Source organism: Homo sapiens, chromosome 7, assembly GCF_000001405.40.
Source record: "Homo sapiens chromosome 7, GRCh38.p14 Primary Assembly".
Lineage (NCBI taxonomy): Eukaryota > Metazoa > Chordata > Mammalia > Primates > Hominidae > Homo > Homo sapiens.
In genome coordinates, this window is record NC_000007.14 from 40,142,974 (window position 1) to 40,155,237 (window position 12,264).

Consider the following 12,264-nt stretch of genomic DNA (forward strand, 5'->3'; position numbering starts at 1 on the left):
TTCTGTAGCTATTTGATTTTGGGGTTTAAATTGATCTGGTATTCCCTGTGGGACTCCAATTGCATTTAAATAGATGTGAGAGTCGAAAGACCCATAAGAGGCTTCCCTTGCTTTATGACGTCTGGTTTTTCCTTCCTCTGCTTGATGAAAGGCCAGAGTAAAAGGGATAGCCGATTGGACTAGAGCATAAATACTGCTCTAATTATTTGGCAGAGTGTCCAGTAAAGGTCCTCCATAATCCCACCATACATCCGCTTAGGGATGAATAAGGGCAGACTGATAGGTCAGCTCTTGGAAGTGCCACACTTCACTGCATCCTGTTAAGTCTCCAAGGAATGCCAAATTTTTCCCTTGGTCGTTGGAGACATGAGGTAAAATTGATTTTGGAAAATGGAGGCTGGATGGCCCTTGGGGGCTGACCCGCAGCATGCTGGACTTTGGGATATAGCAGAGAGAGAGTGTGGCACAACTTGTTACTCTAGGCTGTAGAATCCTGGAAAAGAGCTACCATGCAGCCCATGCCTGGTTGACTGGATGACCACCCTAGTGGAAAGGGGACAGTCTGGGCCTCTGGCCTGCGGTGCGCACAAGCATAACAATTGCTTTTGTTTAACGTGCAGACGGAATATTTGATCCATTCCAACCAGGCATTTGCATCTTGGTATCTTGTCTTAATTGCCGAAGTTTGTTTTAAGTCTTTAACTTGTATGATAGCTATCTTGGTCTTGTCGTTAGATGGAGGAGTGGCAATTGTTCAGTTGTGAGAGGTTTTGGAAGAAGGCTTAGAGGAAGGTGCAGGCACTGGGGGATCAAATAAACACATTTCAAAGAATCCAATAGGGTCTGTCCCTGAAACCTCAGCCCCCATACCATAAAACTGGCTTAAAGAAGGGAACTGGCTTAGAAAAGGGGAAGAAGTTTGAGGGTTCGAGATAATAACCTGTATTGGAATGCACTGGTTTAGCTGACCCCCAGTTGGGGGTTGGCTGTCCCTCTAGTAAAATGAATGTATGGTTTTAGGAAATTACAAAAACTGGTTGGGGCAGTCCATCCTTGCTCTTTAGTGGTCCACAGAATGTTGGACAAACTACGGCATAAAAGCTCTACACTGGGGGGCAAGACTCCTGGTTGACACTGGGGTCTTTACCAAAATCTCCCTGGATTAAGTGGTCTCAATTCACTAATGTCTAGTCTCAGGAGAGTCAGGAGGGAGAGAGGTACTTTTCTGAAGTAGAGAGCTGTCTTTGACTTGGCAAGTCCCCACAGGGTATAACAAGGCAAGCATCAAATGCAATAGTTTGAAGAGAAATTGACTTGGTTATGTTAATAACTAGATGGTCAGCAATAGAGCGAGGAAAGAAGAAAGAGTAATAGAATAGATGAAAGAGAGTGAAATTTTTCTTTGCTTTAGTTTGGTAGGGTTTTCCCCTGGGACTATGGCCCATGACTCTGGAGGGGGCGGCGCTTTCTTGACTCAGGTGTGATGAGTCTATTCCCTTTCCCACTGTAAGAACAGCAGTCTTGGTGGTTAGCAGCACAAGGTAGGGTCCTTCCCAGGGTGGCTGGAGTTTTCCTTCTTTCCACCCTTTGATGAGACCATGATCTTCAGGCTGTTGCTGGTTTACCGGAAATTCTAGGGGTGGTACCTGTGCTAAAAGACTTTTAGTTTTGAGGGAAAGGAAAGTGGAAGATAAACCAAGTATACAATTTCTAAGAAATTGATCTTTTGTTTTAAATGTGGGGACATCAGCAGTGGACTTTATAGTCCTTGGTGTCTTCTTACTGAGAAATTTCCTTTAGCACCTATTTTTATTAGTTTTTAGACCAAAGAAAGCCAAATACCATTTTATATTTGACAATGCTTCCTGTATGATTTTTATACCAGAAAAGCTAAATTTCACCTTTATATTAGTGTGCTATTAGTGATAAACTTAATTTTAATAAAACTTGTAGACACATTTATCCAATTTTTAATGTCTGACCATAAGGTAAGATTTTTATAGACTCTTTTTAACCTTGTATAATTTTTGTTAAAGAGCAGGTTAGTGCTTTAAGAAAAACCTGTTGTGCTTTTATTTTAATGTCCAGTTTACAGAAAAGCTGGATGATACCCCTTTAACTTTAGCCAATATGTTTACAAACAGAATTTTCTTTAAAATTAATGTTTCAAAACTTGCTTAAACCTTTAAAACAAAAAATTTTTTTAACCTTTTAATGTAGGTAAAAATCTACATTCTTATGCCTCATTATAATCCTTTTACCAAAAGTATATTTACTTTCCTTACACACCTTGCACATAAACTGTTTCTTCAATAGTTTTACAATCAAGAGGCCTAATTACTTGTACATTATACAACATTTCTTGCATAAATTCCCTTTTATAACTTTTTTTTTCACGACTTTCACAGACAATTCTTTGACATGCCTCAGCTTTCTCACTTGTTGCAACATCCCTTTCTTTAAACAACCAGTTAATTTATTTTAGGACAAGAATTTACTATATAACATTCGTTTTTACATAAATTCTCCTCCCCACTTTTTTTTTTTTTTCTCAAAGATAATAACCGTTCTTTTCCAAAGTGAACTTCCTTCATGTCTGTGGACTAGTCTAAGGCCACAAGATTAGAAGTTAGGATAATACATGTTACACTGTTAACTTTTAGCAAACTTTACTTTTGTTGAAAACCTTGTGAATTTGGGATTTCAATTATTCTTTGGTATTAATAAGACCCTGTTCAGTCCATATTAACTTAGAATTGATATAGATGGCTCCTTCCTGATTCTGTAAGTACTTCAAGGCTTGGCTGAGTACAAACAGCTGGCACGTTTGAGCAGCCCAATTATTAGGCAATTTTCCTAACTCGCTTCTGTTAGAGTTTCCTTATCCCTTACTGAATACCCATTGTGTCTTTTTCCCTCAATCACCTGGGAGGAATCATCTATCCTCCTGTCCTGAAGGGAGTTCCTCCAAGGTCTGGTCAGACCTTTGTACGGTAATTAAGATTTAGATCCTGTTAGGAAACCTGCTGGGTTAAGAGAATTTTCAGTGGTTAATGTTAAATCATCTTTTTCTAACAGAATAGCCTCATACTTTAAGGTTCTTGAGTCAGTAAGTTACCTTTTTTGCTTTTTTTTTTTTTGACTTAGTATAGTTCTGACCTGTTGAGCTGTGCTCATAATGTTTCCTCTGAAAGTTATTTTTCTACTTTCTTCTGCTAGCAAAGCAGTTGCCGCTACAGATTGAATGCATTTGGGCCATCCGCAGGTTACTGGGTTAAGGATTTTTGATTAGGAAGGCTAATCAGTGGCCTCAGCTTGTCAGTGGCCTCAATGCTTTCAGGCTACGCCCTTGTTTACAGTGACAACTGCTGAGACCAACTCAGTCATGGAGACCCTAACCCAGTGTCGCTAGAGGAAGTAAAGACACACACGCAGAAATATAGAGTGTGGAGTGGGAAATTAGGGGTCTCACAGCCTTCAGCGCTGAGAGCCTTGAACAGAGATTTACCCACATATTTATTGACAGCAAGTCAGTCGTAAGATTTACTAAAAGTATTCCTTATGGGAAACAAAGGGTTGTGCTGGAAATAAAGGTATGGGCTCTGGCTAGTTATCTGCAGCATGAACATGTCCTTAAGGCACAGATCGCTCATGCTATTGTTTGTGGTTTAAGAACGCCTTAAGCGGTTTTCCACCCTGGGTGGGCCAGGTGTTCCTTGCCCTCATTCCGGTAAACCTTCCAGTGTGGGCATCAAGGCCATCACGAGCATGTCACCGTGCTGCAGAGATTTTGTTTATGGCCAGTTTTGGAGCCAGTTTATGGCCAGATTTTGGGGCCTGTTCCCAACAGACAACAAGGTGGTATTGGAGTGTTATAGGGTCACAGAGAAGACCTTCAATTATAGGTTTTAAATTTACCTTGGCTTTTAAAGGAATAGGGTACACTGTTTTCTCTTTACTACTTCTATCTCTCTCCTTCTTTCTTCCTCTCTTTGACTTCCTGTCTCTTTCTGTCTCTTTGATTCCCTCTTTGTCTCTCTGTCTCTTCCTCTTTCTCTCTGCCTCTCTTTCTCTCTCTTTCTTCTCTCTTTCTCCTCACTCTCTCTCTCTCTCCCTCTCTTTCCTCTCTGCTGGTCTTTCCCTGCCTCTGCCAGCCGCTTATGCTGCTGTTCTCCCCTCTCCTTCCCCTTCCGCTAGGGGAGGGACCAGCAGGAGTGGACCTACTCTTTCTTCCCTAGAGAAGAAAGGAAAGGGGAGTTCTGAATATTTTTCTTACTACTGGAGGTTTGTGTGAGGTTCAACCCCCTCCCCATGGGGATTTCTTACCTCTTTTTGAGGTTCAACCCCCCCATCATGGGGATTTCTCACCTCTTTCTGAGGTTCAACCCCCGCCTTCAATGGGGATTTCTCACCTCTTTTTAACCTCCAAGCATCCCGACTAAGGAATACTTCACCACATCCTGTGGCTTTCTTTCCCTAGTCCCGACTAAGGAATGCTTTACTGTCCCTGCGGTTTCTCTCTCCTTGGTATGTCCTAACCAAGGAATACTTTACCACCCCGCAGCTTTTTCCTTAGTCCCGACCACCAAGGAAATACTTTACCCGCTCCTGCGGCTTCTCCTTCCTTGGTCTGTGCACAGAGTTGTCACCACAGTATGTGAGGATTCTTTAAGCTAGGTTGCTGGCCAGTTTCTCTCCGCGTTGCTGAGAGCTCGGGTTATTCCTCCCACTGGGTGGGTCCTGATTTCTCACCCCTGAGGCCGCCACAAGGGGGCGGGGCGGACCTCCTCATGAGAGAGAACCAGAGACCACCCCCAGAGGGGAATGTAATCACAGGAGACCCCCCAAATTGTTATAAAGTTTCTGTGCTGCAAAAGAAATAGCACTCGAATATAAAATTTTCTTTTTAATTCTCAGCAAGGCAATGTACTTCTTTAGAAGGGCATGCCCTTACAGTTGGAGCAATGGTGAGCACACACTTGGACAAGGGAGGGGAAGGGGAGTTTATCCCTGATGCACATGGCCCCTGCTGCTGTGTTGTTCCCCTATTGGCTAGGGTTAGACCGCACAGGCTAAACTAACTCTGATTGGCTAATTTAAAGAGACTGACAGGGTGAGTGGTTTGGCGGGAAAAATGGTTATGAGAGAGCAGGAAATCGGAATGAGTCAGGGTGGAGTAGGTAATCAGGTAATCGGGATGAGTCAGGGTGGAGTAGGTAATCGAAAAAGGTTGCTTTATGAGGAAGTTAAGTTTAAAAGTAGAAGGCAAAGAATTGAACATACTGACATATTGATTCTTTGAAAAGAAATTTAGAACTCCTATCTAACACAGGCAATTATGTTTCCTAAGAAATATGAATGGACTGTCAGTTGTGGAAAGGTAAAACCTGGCCGGGCGCGGTGGCTCATGCTTGTAATCCCAGCACCTTGGGAGGCTGAGGTGGGCGGATCACCTGAGGTCGAGAGTTGGAGACCAGCCTGACCAACATGGAGAAACCTCGTCTCTACTAAAAATACAAAAATAGCCGGGTTTGCTGGCACATGCCTGTAATCCCAGCTACTCAGGCAGCTGAGGCAGGAGAATCACTTGAACCTGGGAGGCAGAGTTTGCAGTGAGCCGAGATGACGCCATTGCACTCCAGCCTGGGCAACAAGAGCAAAACTTCATCTCAAAACAAAACAAAAAACAAACAAAAAAACCAGAATGAAGACCCAAACCCATGATGAGGTTTATGAGCTCCTATACCATCTTGAAGTTACAGAAAGAATGGGGGATTGGATTCTGATGAAAGAGGTTATGGGAACCGGGAGAGAAGAGGAACTCTGTTGGGGGAAATAAAGGATTGCTAGGGAGAATGAATGGATGCGGATGGAGATTAACTGGTAAATAGTTCTCTTTAGAATTTGAATGAGTCTGAGAGACAGGCTTTATCTTCTGAAAGGGCCTGTTCAGTTCTGATTACATTCTTGGTCTTCCAGGGAGGGGAGGAAAAAACAGTTGTTCTTCTTTGGTGGGTGACCCTGGAGTTTTGGCAGATAAAAATCTTAAACTTCTTTAGAAGAGATGGTAGGGGTGGGGAACCTTGGAGAGTCCTTGAGGTTTCTCCTTTAGTTCAGCATGTCAATGTGCCATATTTTGGGGTCTCAGTTTTTGAGTCCCAACACAGTCCATTCTTTGAAAAGTAAAATAAGCATGTAGCTTATTTTACATTTAAAGATTTAGAGATACAACCTTAAATACTGGATTTTTATACATGTAGCTAGGGTCTTCCTGAAACCGCCTTTGCAAAATTATGACTGAGATAGTGAAAGAGATCTAACTTAACTGACTCCATCTTGCTTCTAACCTCCAAGCTGTCCTTGTTCATTCCTGGGTGTAGGCTGAACTAACTTTAGGAGAAACTTAGTTTATAGTTCATAGTTTAAACAAAGACTGTAACAGCCCTTTCCCAAAGCATACCTCCTTCTTGTCTGGGGACTAGATTTCCTTTGTAGGACTAGCATTAGCCATAAGATTAGAAATTATACTTTAGGGCTGGGCGCGGTGGCTCATGCCCGTAATCCCAGCACTTTGGGAGGCAAGTGGATCAATTGAGGCCAGGATTTCGAGACCAACCTGGCCAACATAATGAAACCCTGTCTCTATTAAAAATATAAAAATCGGCCGGGCATGGTAGCTCACGCCTGTAATCTCAGCACTTTGGGAGGCCGAGGCAGGTGGATCACCTGAGGTCAGGAGTTCACGACCAGCCTGGCCATCATGGTGAAACCCCATCTCTACTAAAAATACAAAAAATTAGCCAGGCATGATGGCAGGCGCCTGTAATCCCAGCTGTTCAGGAGGCTGAGGCAGGAGAATTGCTTGAACTTGGGAGTCGGAGGTTGCAGTGAGCTGAGATCGCGCCATCGCACTCCAGCCTGGGCAACAAGAGCAAAATTCTGTCTCAAAACAAACAAAAAATTACAAAAATTAGCAGGGTGTGCTGGTGTGTCCCTGTACTCCCAGCTACTCAGGAGGTTGAGGTGGGAGAATGGCTTGAACCCGAGAGGCGGAGGTTGCAGTGAGCCAAGATCACGCCACTGCACTCCAACCTGGGAACAGAGTGAGACCCTGCCTCAAAAAAATAATTATGGTTTAGGAGTCATGCGGCCGGAGGCTACAAGATTCTGACCCTCCCAGAACTACTCCTAAGATCAGTGCTTGAGATATTTTGCAGACCCTGCACTTGATGGATCAGCTGGCCCCACCTAGATCAATAAACTGGCTCATCTGATCTTGTGGCCCCCGCCCAGGAACTGACTGATCAAGAAGACAGCTCTGACTCCCTGTGACTTCATTCTGAGCAATCAGCACTCCTGGCTCACTGGCTCCCCCAGTCCTCACCAAGTTATCCTTAAAACCTCTGCTCGCTGGGCCGGGCACGGTGGCTCACGCCTGTAATCCCAGCACTTTGGGAGGCTAAGGCAGGCGGATCACTTGAGGCCAGGAGTTTAAGACCAGCCTGGCCAACATAGTGAAACCACATCTCTACTAAAAATACAAAAAACAATAGCTGGGCGAGGTGGTGGGCACCTGTAATCCCAGCTACTCGGGAGGCTGAGGCAGGAGAATCACTTGAACCCAGGTTGGGAACATTGCATTGAGTCGAGATCAGCCATTGCACTCCAGCCTGGGGAACAAGAGCGAAACTACACACAACAAAACAAAACAAAACAAAACAAAACAAACTCTGCTCCCTGAATTCTGGGGAGACTGATTTGAGTAATAATAAAACTCCGGTCTTCCGCTCAGCCAGCTCTGCGTGAATTACTCTTTCTGGATTGCAATTTCCCTGTCTTGATGAATCGGCTCTATCTAGACAGTGGGCAAGGTGAAACCCTTGGGCAGTTACATTCCTAGGCCTTAGCCAGGGAATTACCATGTATATGATGATGAATTCAGGAGAGAAGAGATGAAGAGAAAGGGAGAAAGTTTTATCTTGGCTGGGCACTGTGGTTTACGACTGTAATCCCAGCACTTCGGGAGGCTGAGGCGGGCGGATTGCAAGATCAGGAGATTGAGACCTTGCTGGCCAACATGGTGAAACCCTGTCTCTACTAAAATACACACAAAAAAATTAGCTAGGCGTGGTGGCGTGCACCTGTAGTACCAGCTAATTGGGAGGCTGAGGCAGGAGAATCGCTTGAACCCGGGAGGCGGAGGTTGTAGTGAGCCGAGATTGCGCCACTGCATTCCAGCCAGGTGACAGAGTGAGACTCCGTCTCTAAAAACAAAACAAAACAAAATAAAGAAACAAAGTTTTATCTTGGATTACCTAGAGTTAGAAAAGTTAAGAACTGGAGGTGGCTTCCAGTCGTGTGACCTGAGCACATGAGGCCAGTGGAATGCTGGAGCTGAAAGCATCTGTGTGGCAGCTGGACATGTCCTTTTCACTGGCTTCAGCTGCCTTTTTTAGATGAAGATTGTATTCACAGTGACTGTGAGCTCCTTAGGCACAGAAATTGAATCAGTGTTAAACACTATTGTATATGCCTGGCATTGGCACGAGGATAGTATAGATATTTCCAAGATCTCTCCTCATGGCCATCCTTGGATCCCAGAGCCTGGGACAGTGTTAGGGATCTTGGAAGCACTGCCAACATGTCTGACATTCAAGAAGCCACTAACAGCTCCTAGTTGTAAACCTGCATGAGAACCAGAGGTCTGCACAAGTGACAGAAAGTGACCTCAGAGGTGAGTCTTAGCTTCCTCAAGTCACTATGTAACTGCCCAGTGCATTCATTTTGCCCAGTGGCCCAGATACAGTTTAATTCATGCATAGCCAGCTGTACAAGAGACTGGAGATTTATTACTCCAATCAGTTTCCCTTAAAATTTGGAGACTGAGGTTTTCTAAGGATAACTTGGCAGGTTGGGAGCCAGAGGGTAGGGAGTGCTGATTGGATGGGTCAGAGATGAAGTCACCGGGGGTCAAAGTGGGTTTTTCTAGCTTTCTTTTGTTTCTGGGTGGGATCACAGAACAGGTTGAGCCAGATTATTGGTCTGGGTGGCACCAGCTGGTGCATCAGAACGCAGGGTCTAGGAAATATCCTCAGCACCAGTGTTAGGTTTTACAATAGTGATGTTATCCCTAAGAGCAACTGGGAAGGTTCAGAATCTTGCAGCCTCTGGGTGCATGACTCCTAAACCATAATTTCTAATCTTGTGGATAATTTGTTAGTTTTACAAAGGCAGTCTGGTCCCCAGGCAAGTAAGAGATTTGTTTTGGGAAAGGACTTTTATTGGCTTTGTTTCAAAGTTCAACTTTAAGTTCCACCCAAAGATAGTTCAGCCTATGCCCAGGAATAAACAAGGGCAGCCTGGAGGTTAGAACCAAGATGGAGTTGGTTAGGTCAGATCCCTTTCTCTGTTGTGACTTTCTCACTGTTTTAGTTTTCATCAAGGTGATTTCAACTATTGGAGCCAGCTTTGAGCAAACAGCTGTGGAAGAAGTGAGAGACAAATTGGGGTCACCATACAATCAGCAGAGACCATGGCAAGATATATTTTGTCATTTCAGTGAAAATTTGGCTTAGGTTTATTGTCCGAGATCGGTTGATAACTTATTTGTGGTTGTTCAGGAGTTTTAAGATTACTAGTTTAGAAAAACAAAGAAATTCTAAAGGATTTTGAAGACTTGGCTGGAAAACTCCCGTGGTCAAACACTTTAATTTTATGGAAAATTAAGGTGTTTTTTTTTTTTTGAGATGGAGTCTTGTTGTGTTGGCCAGGCTGGAGTGCAGTGGTGCGATCTTGGCTCACTGCACAAACTCCACCTCCCTGGTTCAAGTGATTCTCCTGCCTCAGCCTCCTGAGTAGCTGGGACTACAAGCGCCCACCACCGTGCCCGGCTAATTTTTGTATTTGTGTTTTTAGTAGAGACAGGGTTTCACCATATTGGCCAGGCTGGTCTCGAACTCCTGACCTTGTGATCTGCCCATCTCGGCCTCCCAAACTGCTGGGATTACAGGCGTGAGCCACTGCGCCCAGCCAATTAATGTTGATTTTAAGGAACAAACAAACAAACAAAAACAAAGCTCAAAAAGATAATTCAGAATTCAAGTAAAAGGAAGGTTCATGATGGACAAGAAGTCCAAACAGATGAAAGAGATGTTAAAAAAAAGAGTTCATTCACTACAATGTTTTAGATTCACACATCTTAGATTATTGTGAAACTCCAGCCATCAAAGGAGATAGCAACATTAGTAGGTGATGATTTGGCATCTTGCAGAGATGAGACTGATGAAAGCAAAAAAGAAGAAACTGAGCCTCAAGTGTAAAGTTTAGAGTCATGTGCAACAGAGTAGGAGAGAAATACTGCTTTCCCTCAAATGAGACTGGAAGAGATTCTGGGGGTGATGTTTAAGGCTATTTTAAGTGGAAGGCCGACATGACCAATTTGATGTTGCGATTCTTTTGAATATCCATGATAATGAAATCACTGTGGGCATGGCATTGACTAAAGCGAGTCTCCACTGAAGACGTATCACACATTTTGGACCTATGACTCTTTTGTACCTATCAACATTTTGGACCTATGGGCACATTTTGGACCTATCAACTCTTACCCCTGGGATACTCAGCCTCTGTGGTCTGCTACCTTATGTTATAATAGTCGATCCAATGTGTGGAACAGGGGCAATACCAATAGAGGGGACTACTTAATGTTTTCACGTTATATTCTGGTGATAATAATCCTCTGGTTGTGAATAGAGCAGCAAACAACATCACATCTTTATTGACCAAGAGCCAAATTAAAGAAGGCTAACCATCCTTGCCCATAGATGCTGTTCAATGGGATAAATGCAATATGCCATTAAGAACTGGCTCTGTGGATATTATTGTGGCAGATTTGCCATTTGGAAAAAAGATGGGATCCAAGAAGAGAAACTGGAACCTTCATCCACCTTGCCTATGGGAGATGAGTTGCGTCTGTGTACACCTACAACAGGCCAAGCTGTACGATGTACTCAGGACGCGAAATGCTTTACCAAAGCATTATCTGGCATGTGATGTGTATGGTGAAAAGTGGATACAGTTCGGGTGAACATTGGGGGTCTTTGTGCTGCAGTTTATATTTTGAAATGTACACCTCAAGCTTTTGTTCATCCTTCAGAACAAGATGGAGAAACAGGAGCTCTGGTAATGCAAAGATTGAAGCTAACTAATAGTACTCGTACTTCCCAACACTGGAAATGTCAGCATGAAGAACTTGCTTTGAGAGCAAAATAGTATTTAAAAAAGTGCAGTGTGCACTCTTTAAACCTGTTCAGAGCTCTTCACTCTAGTTGGCAAAAGATGTGAATGTAATGTAATGTAATGGGATTGAAAAAGTCTTATGAGAAAGCAGAGCTTTTCCTTGGCACTGTTTTGTGTTTTGGGCAATTAGTATTTTGCTTAAAATGCTTTTAAAGATGCCTAGTGAAAAGCCTAGTAAAACGCTCTGAGATTTGGGTGTAGAACGTTTTATTTTCAGGCTTAAAACTTTTTTTTTAATATTATAGTTTTTTGTAGAGATAGGGGTCTCACCATGTTGCCCAGGCTGGTCTTGAACTCCTGGGCTCAAGCAATCCTCCCAAAGTTTTGGGATTACAGGTGTGAGCCACAACACCTGACCTATTTTCAGGCTTTACGGCCTGTTTTCTATTTTGCCAAGCGGAAAGCTACTCTGGCCTAAAGGAAAGGCAGAGAACATAATTACATCTTAGGCCACATTTCATTGCCTGCGTATCTGTGCTATTCAGTTGCTCAAATTCTTTAACTCTAGAAGTGAAGTATTGCATTTTGTGAACAATGTTTGCCCCATAAGATGAAATCTCACAAGTCCTATAGGAAAGTTTACCATCTGCCTTAAAAATTAAAATGCACATCTGTTATTCAGATTAATATGCATCTGTTATTCAGAACTAAAATAGAGGACTAGGATTTATCAAAGGGATTGCAAAAATACTGTTAGTAGTAGCATAGAGCATTACTATTTGTAAACAGCAGAGGCAGGGCGTGGTGGCTCACGCCTGTAATCCCATAACTTTGGGAGGCCGAGGTGGGTGATCACCTGAGGTCAGGAGTTGGAGACCAGCCTCGCCAACATGGGAAACCCCGTCTCTACTAAAAATAAAAAAATTAGCTGGGTGTAGTGGCGCATGCCTGTAATTCCAGCTACTTGGGAGGCTGAGACAGGAGAATCACTTGAACCTGGGAGGCGGAGGTTGCAGTGAGCCAAGA

General features: G+C 43.5%; 1 protein-coding gene and 1 pseudogene across 18 annotated transcripts in view, besides 4 other annotated features; both read left to right on the forward strand.

Annotated features, from left to right (window-relative positions):
• SUGCT (succinyl-CoA:glutarate-CoA transferase) overlaps positions 1-12,264 on the forward strand; it is a 903,812-nt gene that overhangs the window by 7,969 nt on the left and 883,579 nt on the right. The window lies entirely within an intron of this gene.
• Positions 4,401-5,600: an enhancer, noted in NCBI's record as "CDK7 strongly-dependent group 2 enhancer chr7:40186973-40188172 (GRCh37/hg19 assembly coordinates)". NCBI's record gives its function as "activates an origin of replication core promoter dependent on BRD2, BRD4, P300/CBP, MED14 and CDK7 cofactors, with strong dependence on CDK7, by STARR-seq in HCT116 cells {active_cell/tissue: HCT116}" and the evidence as "EXISTENCE:reporter gene assay evidence [ECO:0000049][PMID:35650434]".
• Positions 4,401-5,952: a biological region, named in NCBI's record as "CDK7 strongly-dependent group 2 enhancer GRCh37_chr7:40186973-40188172".
• Positions 5,056-5,952: an enhancer, noted in NCBI's record as "OCT4-NANOG-H3K27ac hESC enhancer chr7:40187628-40188524 (GRCh37/hg19 assembly coordinates)". NCBI's record gives its function as "activates a minimal SCP1, AML or CMV promoter by ChIP-STARR-seq in primed H9 embryonic stem cells {active_cell/tissue: H9 hESC(primed)}" and the evidence as "EXISTENCE:reporter gene assay evidence [ECO:0000049][PMID:30033119]".
• Positions 5,953-6,849: an enhancer, noted in NCBI's record as "OCT4-NANOG-H3K27ac hESC enhancer chr7:40188525-40189421 (GRCh37/hg19 assembly coordinates)". NCBI's record gives its function as "activates a minimal SCP1, AML or CMV promoter by ChIP-STARR-seq in primed H9 embryonic stem cells {active_cell/tissue: H9 hESC(primed)}" and the evidence as "EXISTENCE:reporter gene assay evidence [ECO:0000049][PMID:30033119]".
• Positions 9,453-11,391, forward strand: THUMPD3P1 (THUMP domain containing 3 pseudogene 1; annotated as a pseudogene).